At 41.5% G+C, this 19,434-nt stretch overlaps 1 protein-coding gene across 10 annotated transcripts in view, besides 4 other annotated features; it reads left to right on the forward strand.

The window, feature by feature from the left end:
* Positions 1-19,434, forward strand: part of DCBLD1 (discoidin, CUB and LCCL domain containing 1) — an 87,185-nt gene that overhangs the window by 56,535 nt on the left and 11,216 nt on the right. For 3 of the 10 annotated variants that reach the window (NR_158983.2, XM_011535771.2, NM_001366458.2), the window contains 7 exons: positions 47-171; positions 1,460-1,607; positions 1,710-1,817; positions 3,916-4,003; positions 5,320-5,369; positions 6,270-6,389; positions 8,699-10,589. Coding sequence is in view for 9 of the 10 variants with exons in the window: in XM_011535771.2 (XP_011534073.1) it covers positions 47-171; positions 1,460-1,607; positions 1,710-1,817; positions 3,916-4,003; positions 5,320-5,369; positions 6,270-6,389; positions 8,699-9,231 (1,172 nt within the window). In the remaining variant the exon portion in view is untranslated. Of the gene's footprint in view, positions 1-46; positions 172-1,459; positions 1,608-1,709; positions 1,818-3,915; positions 4,004-5,319; positions 5,370-6,269; positions 6,390-8,393; positions 10,590-19,434 lie in introns of those variants that run through there. The other 7 variants (XM_047418676.1, XM_011535773.3, NM_001366459.2 and 4 more) reach the window with 6 other exon arrangements.
* Positions 8,323-8,412: an enhancer, noted in NCBI's record as "active region_25004". NCBI's record gives its function as "activates an Ori minimal core promoter by ATAC-STARR-seq in GM12878 lymphoblastoid cells {active_cell/tissue: GM12878}" and the evidence as "EXISTENCE:reporter gene assay evidence [ECO:0000049][PMID:35858748]".
* Positions 8,963-9,022: an enhancer, noted in NCBI's record as "active region_25005". NCBI's record gives its function as "activates an Ori minimal core promoter by ATAC-STARR-seq in GM12878 lymphoblastoid cells {active_cell/tissue: GM12878}" and the evidence as "EXISTENCE:reporter gene assay evidence [ECO:0000049][PMID:35858748]".
* Positions 9,033-9,082: an enhancer, noted in NCBI's record as "active region_25006". NCBI's record gives its function as "activates an Ori minimal core promoter by ATAC-STARR-seq in GM12878 lymphoblastoid cells {active_cell/tissue: GM12878}" and the evidence as "EXISTENCE:reporter gene assay evidence [ECO:0000049][PMID:35858748]".
* Positions 19,070-19,119: an enhancer, noted in NCBI's record as "active region_25007". NCBI's record gives its function as "activates an Ori minimal core promoter by ATAC-STARR-seq in GM12878 lymphoblastoid cells {active_cell/tissue: GM12878}" and the evidence as "EXISTENCE:reporter gene assay evidence [ECO:0000049][PMID:35858748]".

A 19,434-nucleotide genomic window follows, 5' to 3' on the forward strand; every position in this document is an offset into this window, starting at 1 on the left:
TTAACAAACTTTTAAAAATAGCCTGTAAATATTATTTTCTTACAAGGAATTAGGACCACAGGATCTACACAGTCGAACTTCAACTTTTATGTTAAGAGTTTTGTGATGAACTTCAAAAACAATAATTCTAAGTGGAAGACCTATAAAGGAATTGTGAATAATGAAGAAAAGGTAAGAGGTAACCCTAGAGGCAAGAGAACTGAGTAGGAGAACAGGCCTCTATATATTTTCATCAATGTGTTTACATTAAATATCTCATTAATAAAAGACAGTGAGGCCAAGCATGGTGGTTCATGCCTGTAATCCCCAAGCTTTGGGAAGCCAAGGCAGGAGGATCATTTGAGACCATCCTGGGCAACATAGCAAGACCCCACCACTACAAAAAAAAATTTTTAATTACCCAAATGTGGTGGTGCACACTTGTAGTCCTAGATACTTGGAAGGCTGAGGCAGGAAGATCACTTGAGCCCAGGAGTTCAAGGTTACAGTGAATTATGGTTGTGCTATTGTACTACAGCCTGGGCAACAGAGTAAAATCCTGTCTCTAAAATAAAATAAAACTTTTAAAAAGATGATGATGGGCTGGTCGCGCTGGCTCACGCATATAATCTCAGCACTTTGGGAGGCTAAGGCAGGCGGATCACCCGAGGTCAGGAGTTCAAGACCAGCCTGGCCAACATAGTGAAACCCCATCTCTACTAAAAATACAAAAATTAGCCAGGCGTGGTGGCTGGTGCCTATAATCCCAGCTACTTGGGAGGCTGAGGCAGGAGAATCATTTGAACCTGGGAGGCGGAGGTTGTAGTGAGCCGAGATTGCACCATTGCACTCCAGCCTGGGCGACAAGAGCGAGATTCCATCTCAAAAAAAAGAAAAAGAAAAAAAGAAAGATGGGGCTTTCTTGGCATCCAAATCCAAGAATAAGAAATGTGTCAATAAAAACCTTGAGAGATCTTTGTGATTTAATTCTTTTCTACTTCAGGAATGAAATACTTGTGATTTTCTTGGGAAGTGAAAATTGGCCATTTAAAATGGCTGCTTCAGTATAAGTATGGTAGATGTTTGAGTTGGACATTTGTCTTGGGATCCTGTTAGTGACAATGAGAATTCGGAAGGAAATGGCAAAAGTGAGAGAGCTGAAGCCTTGTGCTCTTGAGGTTGCTTGTCTATAGCACCAGTTGAATGTAGGAATATTAAGGTCAAATAATACAACAAGGCAATTTTAGCTTCTTTATCCAAAATGAAATTTAAATCAGTAAACAGTTGAGCAGCACCACCTTAGTTAGATAAATTGGCCCTTGTTTGCAAAGCCTCGTATCTTCAATATCAAGAGTGTCTAGAAAAATGCAACCGACATAGAATCCTTGCCTTGGTTTCATATAACCAGGTATAAGTGGGATGATAAACACCTAAAAACTCACTAATAGAATCTTAAGGTAAACATAATTTCCTTCTATAGGTGTTTCAGGGTAACTCTAACTTTCGGGACCCAGTGCAAAACAATTTCATCCCTCCCATCGTGGCCAGATATGTGCGGGTTGTCCCCCAGACATGGCACCAGAGGATAGCCTTGAAGGTGGAGCTCATTGGTTGCCAGATTACACAAGGTAGGGCTCAGGGCAAGCCAGTGAGTTACTCAAGTTTGGTCATATTTTTTTTCGCCTATCATTGTTACTCATGTGGTTTTCCCGACATCCCTCCTCTCTCAGGTAATGATTCATTGGTGTGGCGCAAGACAAGTCAAAGCACCAGTGTTTCAACTAAGAAAGAAGATGAGACAATCACAAGGCCCATCCCCTCGGAAGAAACATCCACAGGTAGAGCCGTGATTGTCTGTGGTTTCATAAGGAGCATAACTGGTAACCCACCCAATATCAGTAACTTCAACAAAATTTCTTTTTCTCTGTCATATAAACATTGGAGGTGGATGATCCAGTGGTATTGGCACATATGTAAAATGATGTATGTTTACAGCTTTTCATTGCAGTATTATAAATAGAAAAAGATTAGGAATGAACTTATGTGCCCTTCAAACACTAGGTACATATTTTGTGGAAAAATAAAACATTAGCACATCCATGCAGTGGAACACTCTGCAGCCATACAAAAAAAAAATGGAAATATAGAAATTGGTAATATAGAAAGCTGTCTGAGATATAGTGGCAACTTAAAAAAAATAAGCAAAATATAGAACTATCTAAGTAGCACGCCACCCTTTCTGCAAAAAGGAGAAACAAAGAATAAATATTCATTCCAGTATCTCTAGAAAAATTTCAAGAAAACATAATGCGGCTTTCTGTGAAGGAGGAACAGAGGTAGGAGGGACACATTCCATTCCATACTTTTGTATACGGTTTGCATTTTGAACATATAAGTATATAATCTATTCAAATAACATTAAAAGTACATTTTTTCAGAATATAAAATAATTTGCATATCAATTTTATAAGAATTTGGAAAGATTAGAAAAACACAAATAAGAAAACAAAAATTAGTCATAAATCAGTATCCGTAGATAATCACCAAATCTCACTGTTTCTAGTCAACTATATTTATGTTTCTAACTTTAAGACAAAAATGGTAGCATATCATATTATTCTGTTCTGTAGCATATATTTTTCATTTAACATTGTATTATGAGCATTTTCCAATGTTATTGGAAGGTTGAAAACCCCAATTATTAATGTCTTTATAGTATTTTTTCACATGGATAAACCATTATTTACTTGACCATTCCCCTGCTGTTGGATGCTTTAAGTTATTTGATTTTCCCCAAATTTTCACTCTTAAAAATAACACCGCTACCGGGCACATTGGCTCATGCCTGTAATCCTAGCACTTTGGGAGGCCGAGGCGGGCGGATTGCCTGAGCTCAGGAGTCCGAGACCAGCCCGGGCAACATGGTGAAACCCCGTCTCTAATAAAATACAAAAAATTAGCTGGGCGTGGCAGCATGCGCCTGTAGTCCCAGCTACTCGGGAGGCTGAGGCAGGAGAATTGCTTGAACCCAGAAGGCGAAGGTTGCCCAAGCCGAGATCACACCACTGCACTCCAGCCTGGGTGACAGAGCGAGACTCCATCTCTTAAAAAAAAAAAAAAAGAAAAAGAAGTAATAATAACACTTCTGTTACTTATACACAAATTTGGTTTTCATCTAAATCCCTTTTCCCCTTCTTCATGAATTGCATTTTTCCACTCTTAAGCATCCCTTTATTTTCTTCCCAGGGATCACAGAAGAGAAAGATGAAGAGCAAATATTTTTCCTTTACTTTGTGTATTTTCTACAAACTTGGGGCCTGCCTTGGTGGCTGTCAAAGTGTCCTTTTTTTAGAGCAGAAAGAGTTGCAGGAAAACATGATGTGGTGTTTCATGCAACATAGTGGAAATGCAGTTTTAGGTCATCAGGCTGCACTTCCTCTCAGTCCGCAGCCCCAGAGCTCTGTAACGAGGATCCCAGTTTTCCAGACTATTGTTATGGTACAGGTCCAAACCCGCCTGCCATCTGGGGAAATGTGTTGCTTGAGCCAAAGTAGGAGCTCCACACTGTGCTTAAATCATTTACCTGTCTAAATAGTTCTCACCTGAGGGGTGGGGGAGGGGTTAAACTCTCCCCTCATTTCAGATTTTTGGAGTTTAATATGGGCCAAGCAACAAGCCCAGTGTGCCTGTTAGTCCCTGAGGAACATTGGAAACTGTCTCTGGGGGGCTGGGGGAGAAATTTTACTTTCCCAAACTTTAGCCAGGATTTTGAATCCTTTCTTTTTGCTTTCCAATATCAGTAAATGCCTAACATGTATTCATTTTCCCCCTATATTAAATGCTTAAAGACTTTTCAATTCCATGTTCAGTTTTAAATCATGAAAAGTGGTTGTTGGTCATTTATGTTGTAACGTGATGGCTTTCCGTCTTCTTTAGGAATAAACATTACAACGGTGGCTATTCCATTGGTGCTCCTTGTTGTCCTGGTGTTTGCTGGAATGGGGATCTTTGCAGCCTTTAGAAAGTATGGTGACTTTACATGTTTAAATTTCTTCTCTAATTATGCGAACAATAAAAAACCAAAAAGTTTATTCTTCAGAAATGCATATGTACAAAAGCAGCATGGCTTCTTTCAAAATAAAATGTTAACTTATATTTTACAAACAAGTTAGATAAAAGTAGAAATGATCGAGTATTACTTTATTAATCTTTTTTTATAGACAGGGTCTCCCTGTGTCTCCCAGGCTGGAGTGCAGTGGTGAGATTGCTCAAACTCCTGGGCTCAAGCAAACCCCCTGCCTCAACCTCCTGAGTAGTTAGGATTACAAGCATGTGCCACCATGCCCAGCTAATTTTTTTATGTTTTGTAGAGATGGGATCTTGCTTTCTCACCCAGGCTGGTCTCAAACTTCTGGTCTCATTTGATCCTCCCAAAGCACTGGGATTATAGGCATGAGCCACCGCACCCCACCATGTATTACTTTATAAGCAGTTCTTGTCATTTAGAGACCTTTGGTAAAGACTTAACCTTTGAGTATTGTTGAAGTATCCTGAAATTGATATATTGCTTTAGAAGTATCTGTGCTTCTCCTCCCTGAAGAGTAAAAGGAATATTAAATAGGCTGCTTGGGGTATCACCAAGCTGCCCCGTAACTCAGCCTCCCCAAGCCTGTTTCCTTATGTATAAAATATAGTTTACCCAGATGAATTCTGAATCTCTTCCAGAACCCTGAGATCCATGTTTATTTTGACAAATGTTAGATGTTGGATCTAAACAAAAAATGGAAAGTATTCTGAAGTTTTCTCTTCTTATATTTTAAGCAACTTCAGAATCTATAATGTGTATATTAGTACAAATAGAATGAAGAATAGTTTCTGCCATCATGAGAGAAGGTACAAAAGTCTCTGGTTCAGGTAGATATTCATAAGTTAAAGCATGCCTTAGTGTAATGTGCTTGTATGAAATGCTTCTAAAGACACCCACAGTTTTGGACTGGAGTATAGTAGAGATGAAGTGAGACCATGTGGTCATGAGGAATTGCTTCAGGATGACTGCATGAGCTAGTGATAAACTTAATAAGGCACTGATTTCTAATATGCAAAATAAGATTAGTATATATTCTTCTAGTGAAATCTTGTGACCTTTCTTATAAATGAGATAAATTTATAGATAATTCTACATATTTGTATGATTTTCTAAAGCACATGGCAGCTGCCATCTCATTTAATTCTCACATCAACCCTATGAGGTAAGTACTATTATGATCCTTATGTTATATAGGGAGAGAGAGGCAGATACATTGGCTTATAAATATTCAGTAGGACTTTTTGTCTTGATAGGAAGAAGAAGAAAGGAAGTCCGTATGGATCAGCAGAGGCTCAGAAAACAGGTTGGTTGAAAACTCTATCTACAATTTTATCTGTCTTTGAGGAAGGGACAGGATCTGCTGATTGAAAGCATAAGGAGGCCAGTGGCCCACATTTATTTGGTTAAAAGACATAAGCCCTGTAGCCTTTAAAGTAGCATATCTATAAGGAAGAAATTTATTGTGTTCTGTCTCTTTATTTTAATGGCCACTTTACTTTTGTTCAATGTCATCCCCTATCATTTGTCAACATCCTTTTTTCTTGGCCACTGGAGTTTAGGCCACGACACTGTCTGCCATCAAGGAGGTATGACAAAAGCCTTATCAGTGAACTGAAGTAGGCCCGTGTTGTTAGCATCTGCAGGCCTGTGCTGTACTTTCCACCCTGAGAAAGTGAGAAAAAGACCAGGCAGGGCTGGTGTGCAGGTTTCAGATAATCCTGCACACCAGCCCCGTCTGGTCTTTTTCTCACTTTCCCAGACACAGGTGCCCAAGCAATGAGTTAGCCATGGTCCAGAGAGAGAGGGCAGTGGGGCAGGACCCCTGAGAAAGCTCAGGGACCATTTGAGACTCCACCTCCCCAGGGTCTAAACACCAGCTGCAGTGTCTCCTCTGCCTCACAGATGCCATGCCAGTGCAGATTGTCGGAGACCATACCCAGATGATCTCACAAAGGGAGAATCTGGGACCTGATGAGGGCAAAATACCTTTTAAAGGCACAGCGGAAAGCATGGTTAGAGTAGTGTTTGCTGTTGTGGTTAATGACCTTGGCATGCTGTTCTTAGCACACACACCTGAGGAGGACATTGATCACTGTCAGCTGTCAGGAGGCAGCCTGACCTCTGACTCATCAAGGAACATGTTCTGGAGGACGCGCATTACATTTCTGACATATTCATTTGGTTTATGTTACCTTTATTCCAGACTGTTGGAAGCAGATTAAATATCCCTTTGCCAGACATCAGTCAGCTGAGTTTACCATCAGCTATGATAATGAGAAGGAGATGACACAAAAGTTAGATCTCATCACAAGTGATATGGCAGGTAAGTGTCATATTTCTAGGACTGTGCTATTAGATTGGAGGTGCTGCTTGTGGGGGAGGGAGACAGGAGAGAAATAAGGCAAAATCCTTTTCTATTTAGATAGGGTCCAGTAAATCTGAAATGTGTTTTTTCTGCATTCTGCACAGAATTACAAACTGACACTGAGATATTACTTAAAAGCCCTATTCAGCCAGTCTTTTCACCTGCAGGGGATATAGTGACATCCATAGTGATAGCCCTGATGTACTACTTGTATCTGGAAGCCCTGAATCTATTTTTGTTACCAAAGCTTTGATTAAGGCACTGGTACAGAGGGGCTGAAAGGAGGAATTAAATACAGTTCCTGCCCTGAGGAAGGTGAGATAGGAAATAAAGGAACTCTCTCAGTATGAGAAGGGCCTCAGTGTCCCTGACAAGCCACATCAAGAGTCGAGCTTCCCAAACCATCTATGGGGAAATGCTTTTTGTTTCTTTTTTTAAAATTTCTACTCCATCATGAATGAATACACTGTAAAATGCAATATAAAATACTAGTAATAAGGAAATTTTAAAGATACAAAATACAAAGCTCTAATTTTTTATTATTAGATTCAACAGACATAAAATTAAGAGTAATAAAGAGTAACTAAGAGTAGTTTCTTGACACTTAGTCTCAATTTCTGCACCTGTCTCTATGGCACTGCTAAAAACAGCTCTCAGATACATAGGACTCTGTGGGGCATGCTCTGAGTAGCACTGCGCTCTGGCTTCTCCCTCCTCACGTGCAGCCTGAGGACCTGCAGTATAGGCATCACCTGGGGGCTTGTTAGAAAGGGAGGCCATAGAACTAGAAGCTCCCAGGTGACGCCTGTGCACATCAGTGACTGGGAGTTGTCAGCCTAAGGGTTGGTTGAGTCACTTTGTGGACAAGGAGAGCATCCTCTGCAACCAAAATCCATCCTCTTGTTCCTTGGAAGTGACATGAAGGGAGAACCTAATTTCTGTTGTCTTATGCCTTTCATTCTCCTTCAGCTTCTAATTCAGTCTCTCCTCCCTCCTCCCTGAATGATCCTCAGGCTCCTTAAATGTGCAATGACCCGGGTTCTGTCTCACCCCCACTCACCACAGTCTCTCCCCTAAACAGTCCCACACCCTCCCCAACTTCCAGCAGTGCCCTTCCCTGCATGTTTGTCCATGCTGCTTCTCACACCCAGACTTCCCTCTCAGTCCCCAGTCCATAATTCTCAGCAGCCTGCTGGACACCTCCACCTGCAGATGTCACCCGTTCCTCAGCAACCACAATCGAATCCATTGTTCCTAACCCTCACCACAGATGCTCTGTGCATTCCTTGTCTAATGGCTTCTCGACTGCACATCCCAGCCTCAAAGAGTCCTTGCCTCCCGGCTTTCCTCACACCCCACCTCTCATTGGTAACAAATTCCTGATTCCTGTCCCAAAGGGTCACTTTTCCTCTTTCCTAGTTTGTGACTTCTATGTGCATTTCTCTTTGCTTTTTTACCTCTCACTTTTTGATCTTTTCCTCTTGGGTCAACCTCCACAGTTACCTCTGAAAGTGCCAGTCTTTCGTTTCCCATAGAATTAAACCAGACTTCCTAGCAAGACAATCAATGCTTTTCCATGCTCTAACGCGTGGCTAACAGCATATACTCAGGATGTGCGTTCGAATCCTACTCCATCGCCCCATTGTGTGACCTAGGAAAAGTTAGTCTCTCTCTGCCTTGGTTTCCCATTTGTAAAATGGAGTAACAGTTCCTACCTCGGGATTTTTTTGAAGATTATTAACATCTTGCTATTGGAATAGCGCCTGGCAAAGAGTAGGAGCTCTATAAATGGGAGCTCCTGGCATCATCCTCACTGTCACCACTAGGCCCTGACCTGTTGCTTTGGTCCTCATATCCTATTAAACAAACTACTCTGTGTCCCTCATACTCTGGCCATATCAACTCTATTTTCGAGGCTGTTTTTTTCTCCATTTCCACACTGTGTGACTTCCACCTCCATAGCTTCTCCAGAGCCAGTTTCAGAGCCACTTCCTCCCTGAAGTATGTCCCCATGCCCCAGGACGTCGTCGTCGCCCCCATCTCTGAGAAGACCCTGCGAAGCTTCCTGAGCAGGCGGTGCGGTTGTGTACTGCCTGCGGGTGGCTTCTGTGGCTTTCACATCAGGGTTTTCCGCAGTGCCTGGGACACCTGAGGGCACCCGGGGGGAAAGTCAGTCACCACGACCTGAAGCAGAGTATCCCCGTCTGCCACTGACAGGCCGGCCCGTGTGTGGTGCCCGCTAGCTGCCATCTGTCTTGTGGTTTCAGATTACCAGCAGCCCCTCATGATTGGCACCGGGACAGTCACGAGGAAGGGCTCCACCTTCCGGCCCATGGACACGGATGCCGAGGAGGCAGGGGTGAGCACCGATGCCGGCGGCCACTATGACTGCCCGCAGCGGGCCGGCCGCCACGAGTACGCGCTGCCCCTGGCGCCCCCGGAGCCCGAGTACGCCACGCCCATCGTGGAGCGGCACGTGCTGCGCGCCCACACGTTCTCTGCGCAGAGCGGCTACCGCGTCCCAGGGCCCCAGCCCGGCCACAAACACTCCCTCTCCTCGGGCGGCTTCTCCCCCGTAGCGGGTGTGGGCGCCCAGGACGGAGACTATCAAAGGCCACACAGCGCACAGCCTGCGGACAGGGGCTACGACCGGCCCAAAGCTGTCAGCGCCCTCGCCACCGAAAGCGGGCACCCTGACTCTCAGAAGCCCCCAACGCATCCCGGGACGAGTGACAGCTATTCTGCCCCCAGAGACTGCCTCACACCCCTCAACCAGACGGCCATGACTGCCCTTTTGTGAACACAATGTGAAAGAAGCCTGCTGTGGTACTGAGCGTCGGGCTGTCACAAGGCACTGGAAGAAGGGAGCCTGCTGGTCCAGAGTGTGCGTGTGTATCGGTGTGTGTGTACACTTGCATGTGTGTGTGTGATCCAGTAGGATCCTAGAGACAACCTGTCATACTGTTTACAAAATTGTGCAGCTGGTTTCGTGCTGACCCTTAGGGTGCGTCTGTTGGGTTTTGTTGGGCTAGAAAAATGAAAATTTTCAGATGGCGTTTTCATTCCTCTGACTGATATTGAGCTGCTTTGGTGTTAAAGGTGTAATGTGTACAGAGTTGTATTTAACAATAATAAAAGTAACTTAAGTTTGCTCTATCAGATTTTAGTTCTGCACAGAGGTTAAGTGGGAAAATGCAGCTGTTGCAAAATGTATATAAATAGTATGTTCATTTTTTTCAGTATATTATCTGATACTGTGTTAGCAGCAGGTCTGCTTAAACCTAGTCTTGTTGTTATTGAGTCATTTCCTCTCCTTTGATAACTAGAACTGAAAGCATTTTTAACATTCTTCTCCTGGAAGAAATGAATTACTTGAAGCATGAAAAGCACACCAGGGTGGTTGTTTATTTAGCAATTATGACTGTAGATTTAAAAACAAGCAAAGAAACAACACCTCAGCAGCTGCCCGTTTCCTTAGTCTCCACTTCAGAGGGGGATGCGAAGAGGTCGGCCCAGCTCCGGTGACCATGAAGGTGGCACAGGAATTACAGTGTGAATGGCTGTGTCAGATGTTTTCGTACCTCAGATTAAAAATATTGCTGAGGTCAGACGCCACAATTTTCATGACTTTCTTCAGAAGTAGCACATTTTCGTGACTTCCGCTGTCCTCTGAAAAACAAAGTTATTTGGAACATGTTCATGCAAAAGTGATTCTGACCAAGTCTAAATCGAGCTTTTCTACTGACATGAAACTGTTGGAAACTGATCTCATTTTATAAGAAATGATTTTCCCCTCAAGGAGGCGTCTGTAATTCCAGAACAGTCCAGACATCAGCTGTACCTCATGCTCAGTAGTTTTTATTTGAGTTTCTTTTGTGAGTTAACTATGGGAGATTTAACCTCTTTTGCCAAAGAGGGAAGTGTGTGTGTTTTTTTAATAGAAAATATGGACCAAAAATTTTTTTCCCTGAAGAATGTATTATAACCCTATTTGTGTGGTTATTACATCCTGTGAAATGTATATATGTTAAAATAATGGGGGTGCTGGAAGGTCATGGCAGACTAGCTGCTGGTTAGTGTGGAGGGGAAATGGTTTACTTTGTAGAGTTTACATGGTTTTATGCGCACACTAATTGTAATAAACTATGCCAAACCAAACTGCCCCTGACTCTCACTAGTCAGCCCTGCTCGCTGGGGTGTTAGAGGCACTCAAGGTTCAGCTTCTGTAAAAAGGCAGGTGCCACAGTGGAAAGAGAAAGAGCTTGGTGCCAGATTAGGCCAGACCCCAATCTACCACAGAAGAGAAGTCTGGCTGCTTCTATAATGATGAGACTCGGTTTCCTCATGTTTGAAAATGGTGTTGTCGTGCTTTCTTCCTCCAAAACTTACTGATAAAAATTAGTTGGAACATTTATCAAAGTGTTGTCTATAGTAGGTCCTTTTTTCTAATGTAAGCCTTCAGTGGGCTGTTTACAGAATTTTAATATTGGAATATTAGACCATAAGCATAGGCCTAGATCTACAGCCCTTCTTTACAATAGAGCTGTCTTCATCTATCACAGTTCTTCTGCGGCACTAGTGATCTAATCATGACCAGTGGGAGAACAGGACTTTTTTTTTTGGATCATCACTTCCTCAGGGTAGACTCTGTAGAACAGGTTGGGTGAGTGGAAAGGTCTGATAAACCCTACACAGCTAAACCTAAACTAGAGGATAAGGGCAGAAAAATTTTACATCTTTCTTTTTTGGTGTTTTGCAATATCAGCATATATGATAAGGCGTGAATGAGACAATTCTAATTGTCTGACTTATGTTATCAAATCCTACTGGGAGGCAAAGATTGTATTCTGCCACTTCTTAAATTTGCGGTTGAAACACATTTGCTATGACAAGCAAGACTACACTTACACAGGCTCCTGAAGCTTTGCTCTGGGTTTTATTATTGTTATTTAAATGTTCATTAACGTTTACAGTCAGCCTAGAAAATAGAAAGGATGTGAGAGATTGTTTTGTGTTTATTTTATACTGCTTTGGATTCTTAACATGAAATCACATTTGTAGGCACAACTGTATATACCATGAATAGCTATGAGACCTTTCCCCACTCTGACCAGTCACAGCAGTCCAAGTGTGGCCACCGGGTTGACCTCACTATTCCTAAAATGCTTATCTTGCATTCATGCACGTACCAAATAGTTATTGAGGTTCTGAGAGCAGTGTTTACCCTGTACTTTCTTGAGTTGAAAGAGAATGCCTAGTCTCTCCCCCAGATCTGAGAGCAGTTGAATCCCTCCAATGAGAAGCTAGGGTGAATACAAACACCCCAACCTGCAAGTATTTCCTGCCCAAAACACAGCCCATGCAGTCACCCCATGCCACATTGCACACCCACCCACACTGCTGTGTTCACATCCCACTACAGATCCCCTGTCTCCCACTGATCTTGCTCCCAGCCTCTCCTTGTTCTGGGATAAATTCCCCTAGGGGCTTTAAAGGTTTTTATTTTGTCTTTGGTATTCTGCAATTTTACTACTATGTATTGAGCTATGAATTTGTTTCTGTTCACATTGCTCAGGACTTGTGCCTCTTGAATCTTAGCATTTATCAACTATGAAAATGATCAGCCCTTTTTTTTGGTTGTTTTCTTTATTTTCTCCTGGAAATCCTATTGGATGCTCATTAGAGCTTCTCATCCTATCTTTGATTCTGATACCTGAGTATTTCCATTTATTTATTTATTTATTTATTTATTTATTTTTAGACAGAGTCTGGCTCTGTCACCCAGGCTGGACTGCAGTGGCACTGTCTCAGCTCACTGCAAACTCCGCCTCCCAGGTTCATGCCATTCTGCTGCCTCAGCCTCCCGAGTAGCTAGGACTACAGGCGCCCACCACGAGGCCCAGCTAATTTTTTGTATTTTTAGTAGAGACGGGGTTTCACCGTGTTAGCCAGGATCGTCTGGATCTCCTGACCTCGTGATCCGCCATCCTCGGCCTCCCAAAGTGCTGGGATTACAGGCGTGAGCCACCGCGCCCGGCTTCCCTTTATTTCTTAAGACATTAGCTAGGCCTTGTGAAGAATTCTGATTTATTTGGTCTGACATTCCTAGGAATTCATAATAGACAGGTTTTCTTCTTATTTAGTCCGCCGTCTTGCTGGAATGATGCCTCCCCAACAGGTACAAGAAAGCATATTTATTAAAATATCAGGCCAGGCACGGTGTATCACACATCCCAGCACTTTAAGAGTCTGAGGCAGGTTGATAGCTTGAGCCCAGAAGTTTGGGGCCAACCTGGGCAATGTAGTGAGACCTCCTCTCTACAAAAAAAAAATTAAATTAGCCAGTTGTAGTGGTGCAAGCCTGTAGTCCTAGTTACTGGGGAGGCGGGAGGATCACTTGAGCCCAGACGGTGGAGGTTGCAGTAAGCCAAGATCACGCCACGGCACTCCAGCCTGGGCAACAGAGCAAGACCATGTTTTTGTTGTTGTTGTTGTTTTTTAAAAAGAGAAAATAGCACAGGTTTAGAACCATACAGAACTTGGGTTTAACTGGAGATTTAATCTTTGTAACTATGTGATTACAGGCATATTACTGGTGCTTTCTAAATCTACTTCTTTATTCCCAGAATGGAAATTATTATAAAAGGGCTGTTGTGCAGACTATATTATAGTGTTTTGTATACATTAGATGATCGATCAATATTAGCTCATTTTCTCTCTGCCCAATCTGAAGTCATCCAACACCATTTGCCTTAGAGTCCTTTTTATTTTTCAAGAGGAGGCTGCCTGTCCTCCCAACAAATGCACTTAACTGTGGCACACACCCTCCTCCCAACAGACTACTTCCACATCCTTTTTTACTTTTTCACCACCATTCAAAGCTCTCCCTTTTTTTCTCACCTAGCTCTACCACCTTTTTCTTTTTGCTGTGACACCTAATATCTTCCAGGCCACTTTTTTCCATTCATTGAGGACATTCACCTAATTCTAGGTCTTCTTCATTCCTCCTTTGTAATCATGCTAGAGAATGAAGTGCCCAACATGGTCATTTTTATGGTTTCTTGACTTCCACTCTAGTAACCTGCTTTCCATTTAAACCACTCCCACACATGTCCACATTCTTGTCATCAGCAAGAACCCCAGCACTGTAAACCTAATCTCCAGCAATTCTCTATCAGCTCAAAACCCCCTGAGTTCTTCAGCTTTCCACCTACTTAGTCACTGATCTCATTTAGATACCAAACCCCTAGATCCCATCATTTTCCTCTAGTTGTTAATCCTTTTGGGTTGCATTTCCTTCCCTATCCATCATCGAACTGGTTTGTCTCAGCATTTTCACTCCATTTTCTTTCCAGGAGCCCCGAACCATGAGACCCCAACAACATAATTCCCCTTGAGAATACCATCTCTCCATCTTCATCACAGCAGCAGGGGAACATTGCAGAACTATTCACACTGTGGCTGTTACAAAAGCTCGGTTTCCAGTTTACTGGGGGCCCATCACTCCTCAACGCTTTTATTTATCTTTGATCCCTTTTTCCGTACCCCTTAGCAATTATTCCAAAGCAGTGCCACTTTTCACACTCTCCCTTACTCTGATCTTGCCACTTCCTTCACCTAAAAATAAAAGTCGTTAAAATCAGAACTAACTTCCTGCTGATTCCTCTTCTCACAAAACCTGTATCCACTTCATTCCTTTCCTCCTTCCTTCCTGTGTCAATGGAAAAAGTGTTAGAAACCTTCATCTGTGATCTTAAATCCCACTGCCTTCCCCTTATCTCTTTGCTCCTATTATCCCTTTTTCCTTTATCTTCTTCTTCCTTTCATTGGAGGTCTCCCCCTCAGCCTTTAAACTTCCTCAAATCTCTCCCAAGTATAAAGAATTCTCCCTTAATATACTAAGCCCTTCTAATTACCTATTGTCTTTCTTCGAACAGTGATCTCTTCTTGGAATTTTTGTCTGCCTTATTTCCATTCATTCTTTTTCTAATGTAGTTTTTAGTCAGTTATATAGGTACACAAAACGTAGTATCCCTTTCCATTTGTTCAAGCCCCTTTTGCATCCTTTCAGGGGATTTTAAAGGGTGCTCACATAAGTACTGCACATTTTTTGTTTAATTTGTACTTAGGTGTTTTTTTTGTTGTTGCTGCCATTGTAAATTGTCCCCACCTCCTCTTTTATGTATCAAGAACTAGTATGGCCTAGTGGTAAAAAGCATGGATTCTGGGGCTTAGACTCCCTGGGCTCAAATTCTGCCTTAGTTGTGACCAAGAAGGACTTACTTTCTATGACTCCATTTCCTTATTTCTAAATGGAGATAATAATGGTATATACCTTATAGGGTTGTGGTGAAGATTACAAGGATTAATGTACATAAAACCCTTACAACAGTGTCTGACCCATGATAAGTGCCACGTGGTGTTAGCTATTATATGCAGCCTTCCTGTTCGATTTCTGTGACTAATTTGTATGCTGCTCCTTTACTAAATGTCCTTATTATTCCTAGTAGCTTTTAGTTGATTCTCTTAGGTTTTTCTGGAATTTGATCACGTTTGCAAATAGTGCTAGTGCTATCTCCTTTCCAATATTTATGTGTACATTTAATTCTATTGGCAATACTTCCAGTACCATATTAAATACTTCTAGTAGCTCCCACCTTAGCATGATGCTGGCTTTTAGGCAGAGATAGATTTATTATGTTGAGGTAAACTTTATTATGTTAAGAAAGCATCTATTTATTCCTTTTTTTCCCCCTCACAAGGAATGTGCTTAATTTTGAGCAAAGTCTTTTCAGCATCTATGGAAAATATGATTTTCCTCCATAGGACTCCTCCCTAGAGCCAGTCAGATGATTAATTACATAATTAGATGTCCCAATGTTAAACATCTGGTTATAGATATGAATCCATTACTGTATTAAATTTGCATGGATAGGATTTTACTTAGGATTTTTACATTAATATTCATTTGTGGGCCAGGTGCAGTGGCTCATGCCTGTAATCCCAGCACTTTGGGAGGCTGAGGCGGGCGGATCATGAGGTCAAGAGATCGAGACTGTCCTGGCCAACATGGTGAAACCCTGTCTCTACTAAAAATATAAAAATTGGCCGGGAGTGGTGGCTTGTGCCTGTAGTCCCAGCTACTCGGCAGGCTGAGGCAGGAGAATCGCTTGAACCTGGGAGGCGGAGGTTGCAGTGAGCCGAGATCGAGTCACTGCACTCCAGCCTGGCAACAGAGCGAGACTCAGTTGCAAAAAAAAAAAAAAAATCTTTTGTGAATCAGGGCTTTTCTTTCTTTGTGGCAATCTTGATCAGATATTATTAGCTTGACAGAAACAATTTAGAATTTTTCTTCCCTTTTTTGGTTCTCTTGCTAGGCATTAGAATTAGCTGTTGTTTGAACGTTTAGTAGCATTGCCCTGTGAAATCATGTATTTTGGTAATTTGTGGGGAGAGCACTTTGACAATTCCTTCAATTTTTCCTATGGAAATTGGTTTGTTTAGATTTTAAAACTTCCTTGGGAACAGTTTTGGTAAATTACATTTTCCTAGAAAAGTTTTCAAATTTATTCCTATAGAATTGAACAAAGTAGTCCATTATTATCCTTTTAGTTTTCTCTTTTATGGGTATTTCTCTCTTATTTCTTGTTTTGTATATTTGCATTTACTCCCTTTTTTCATGACTAGTTTAGTCAGCAGTTTGCCTTTTTCCTCTGAAAAATCAGGGTTTTTTTTTGTAGTTCTCCTGTTTCAGAAGCCAACAACCCATTTGTTACTGCCTTAGGCAGAGGTTAAAAATGCCCTCAACCATGGTGAACATGACAGTAGAGGGCACCTAGTGAGCATGACACATCCTCAAATGTCACAAAAGGACACAAATATCCTTGTTGCAGTATTGCTTCCTAAAGAATATGGGGACAGTATGCACACAAGCAAGAAATAACTTATTCCGTATTTGGTGGGGGCAGGGGAATGCTATAGTCTTGACGATCTAGAATTCTACTATGTAACTCTAGGAGTTCTCTCATTCTATAGTCACTCCACTACAGCCAAACAGTTTCTTGTGAAATTCAAACCCAGCACAATCATCATTTTTAGAAATCAAAACTGTATCAAGCCAAGGGTCCATCAAACCGTGCACCTTTTAAGAAAACTTTAGAAAAATTCTACTGCAGTTGGCAAGCATGGAAAAAATAAAAATAATTGTTGGAATAGGAGGACTGAAAGCTGACAATTTTATCTATATTTCCCCTTTCCTTCTTTGTGGCCTATTAAAGTAGAATTAAGAGAGGGATTTGAGTCTTGGCTCAGACACTTAACTAGCTGTGTGACCCTGGAAAAATCAGCCTTCAATTTATTGATCTTCACAGGAGTATTTTATTTGATGAGTTTCAAAAAGCCTTACACCGCTAATAAAAGTAAAATTAATAATGCATCTGGAATCTGCTGCCCCCTGCTGGCAATTTACCAAATTGCAAATTCTACCTTTCCAACGCATAGACTCCAAGTTTTAGTGTCGGCCTATATTTTATCTAATTTTCCTTGTTATAGTCCATTACCTATCTTCCTTTTTTAAAATATATTTTTATCTTTATAGGTTTAGGGGGTAGAAGTGCAGGTTTTGTACATGCATATATTGCGTAGTGGTGGAGTTTGGGCTTTTAGTGTAACCATCACCTGAATACTGAACATTATACCCAATAGGTAATTTTTCAACCCTCACCCACCTCCCACCTTCCTATCTTCTGTAGTCTCCAACGTCTATTATTCCACTCTATATATGTCCATGTGTACCCTTTATTTAGCTCCCACTTATAAGTGAGAACATGTGGTAGTAAACTTTGTTTCTGAGTTAGTTCACTTAAGATAATGGTCTTCAGTTCCATCCATGTTGCTGCAAGACATGATTTCATTCCTTTTTTCATGGCTGAATAGTATTCAATGGTATATATTTACCACATTTTCTTTATCCAGTCATCCATTGATGGACACTTAGGTTGATTCCATACATATCTTTGCTATTGTGAATAGTGCTGTGATAAACATACGAGTGCCAGTATCTTTTCAATATAATTTCTTTCTTTCTTTGGGTATATGCCCAGTAGTGGGGTTGCTGGATCAAATGGTAGTTCTATTTTTAGTTCTTTGAGAAATCTCTATACTGTTTTCCGTAAAGGTTGTACTAATTTACATTCCCACCAACGGTGTAAGTGCTCCCTTTACTCTGTAGCCTCCCCAACATCTGTTTCTTGACTTTTTAATAATGGCCATTCTGATTGGTGTAAGATGATATCTCATTGTGGTTTTAATTTGCATTTCTCTGATTAGTGATGTTGAACTTTTTTTTTCATGTTTATCATCCACTTGTATGTTTTCTTTTGAAAAATCTCTGTTTTTTGCTCACTTTTTATCTTCTTACTTAGACGCCAGAGGTATTTCTTTTACAACCAAATGCCCTCTTAAAACTTTAAATCAAGCTTGTTGTTCAAATCTTCCTTCTTTCCTAATTTGCCTGAAAGTTTTGTTGCAATCTCCCACTATGATGATAGATTTAACATTGTAGTAAATTGGTTCTTTAAGAATTTAAGTAACCTTTATCCCTAATGGTTTTTTTCTTAAAGTCTGTTTTTAAAAAATATAACTGTATCCATGTTCTTTTGGAGAAAATATGCCCAGTGTATATTCTTTCTCCTTTCACTTTCAAATTTTTTATGTCCTTATGTTTTAGGTATGTTCCTTTTAAACAACATATTGCTGGATTTTTTCCAATTTAAATAAAATGTTTTCTAATTTCAGTTCTTTCTTTTAATAAGTTTACACCCTGATCAAGCACTCTCAAAAGTCAATTCCAGACTGGGCACGGTGGCCAGTCTAATCCCAGCACTTTGGGAGGCGGATGGATCACCTGAGGTCAGAAAGTTCAAGACCAGCCTGGCCAACATGGTGAAACCCCGTCTCTACTAAAAATACAAAAATTAGCCAGGCGTGGTGGCACGCACCTGTAATCCCAGCTACTTGTGAGGCTGAGGCAGAGGAATCACTTAAACCCAGGAGATGGAAGTTGCAGTGAGCCAAGATTGCACCATTGCACTCCAGCCTGGGCAACAAGAGTGAAACTCCGTCTCAAAAAAAATAAAAATAAAAAATATAAAATTCAGTTCTAGGAGTACTCCTTTGGTTTTTGCCAGAATGTGCTAGCTAATTCTTACACTTTTTGTGTAGTTTCTTTTCTCCTTTATCAGGCCCAGCACATCTCCCATCCTGGCTTTACTAGGATTTAGCCCTAGTTACAGGCCTGGCAGCAGACTAGGTAGGGGCAGGTATTGCCTTAGGGATGTGGTTAGTAGCAGCCTCTGTAACATCTTGGAGCATAGACAAGGTACAAGGTCTTATTAGAGAAGCGTGGGCTTCTTCTTAAGACCAACAGTCCAGTAGAGATTGCAAAGTCTCTCAGGTGCAGCCATCCAGATCTCCCCATGGTTCTAGGTTTTCCTCACCAGGGCCTTGACTTTCACAAAATAGAAGAGGTTTCGCTGAACATTCAAGTGTCTGAAACTCAGCAACTCTTAACACTTAGGTGTTCAGCCTGAAGCTCAGCTGTTTCAATCCCTCCATTGTAGGAGGTAAGGCCTCCTTGGGAGCTGCCCCCCTCCATCCATTTCTGTAGGTCATTAATACAATCCTGCTGTAACCGGCCAACTCTGCTATTCTTGTAGATGTTGTTCTCCCACATTTTTCAAATGTCTGCATCACTGACCCTCCTGGAGAGTTCCCCTCTCCATAAGCTGGATTTTTTCCAATTTAATAATTTTTTCCAATTTAAATAAAATGTTTTCCAATTTCAGTCCCAAGTCTCCAAAACTCTCCCCAAGTTGAGTGGTTTGCTAGGACTCATCAGACTAAGCAAAGCTTTATTCACAATTATGATTTATTACAGAGAATATAAAGCAAAATGAGGAAAGGGAAAAGGCATATGGGCACAGTCCCAAGAAAATCAGGTACA

The sequence above is a fragment of the Homo sapiens genome, chromosome 6 (assembly GCF_000001405.40).
Source record: "Homo sapiens chromosome 6, GRCh38.p14 Primary Assembly".
Classification (NCBI taxonomy): Eukaryota; Metazoa; Chordata; class Mammalia; order Primates; family Hominidae; genus Homo; species Homo sapiens.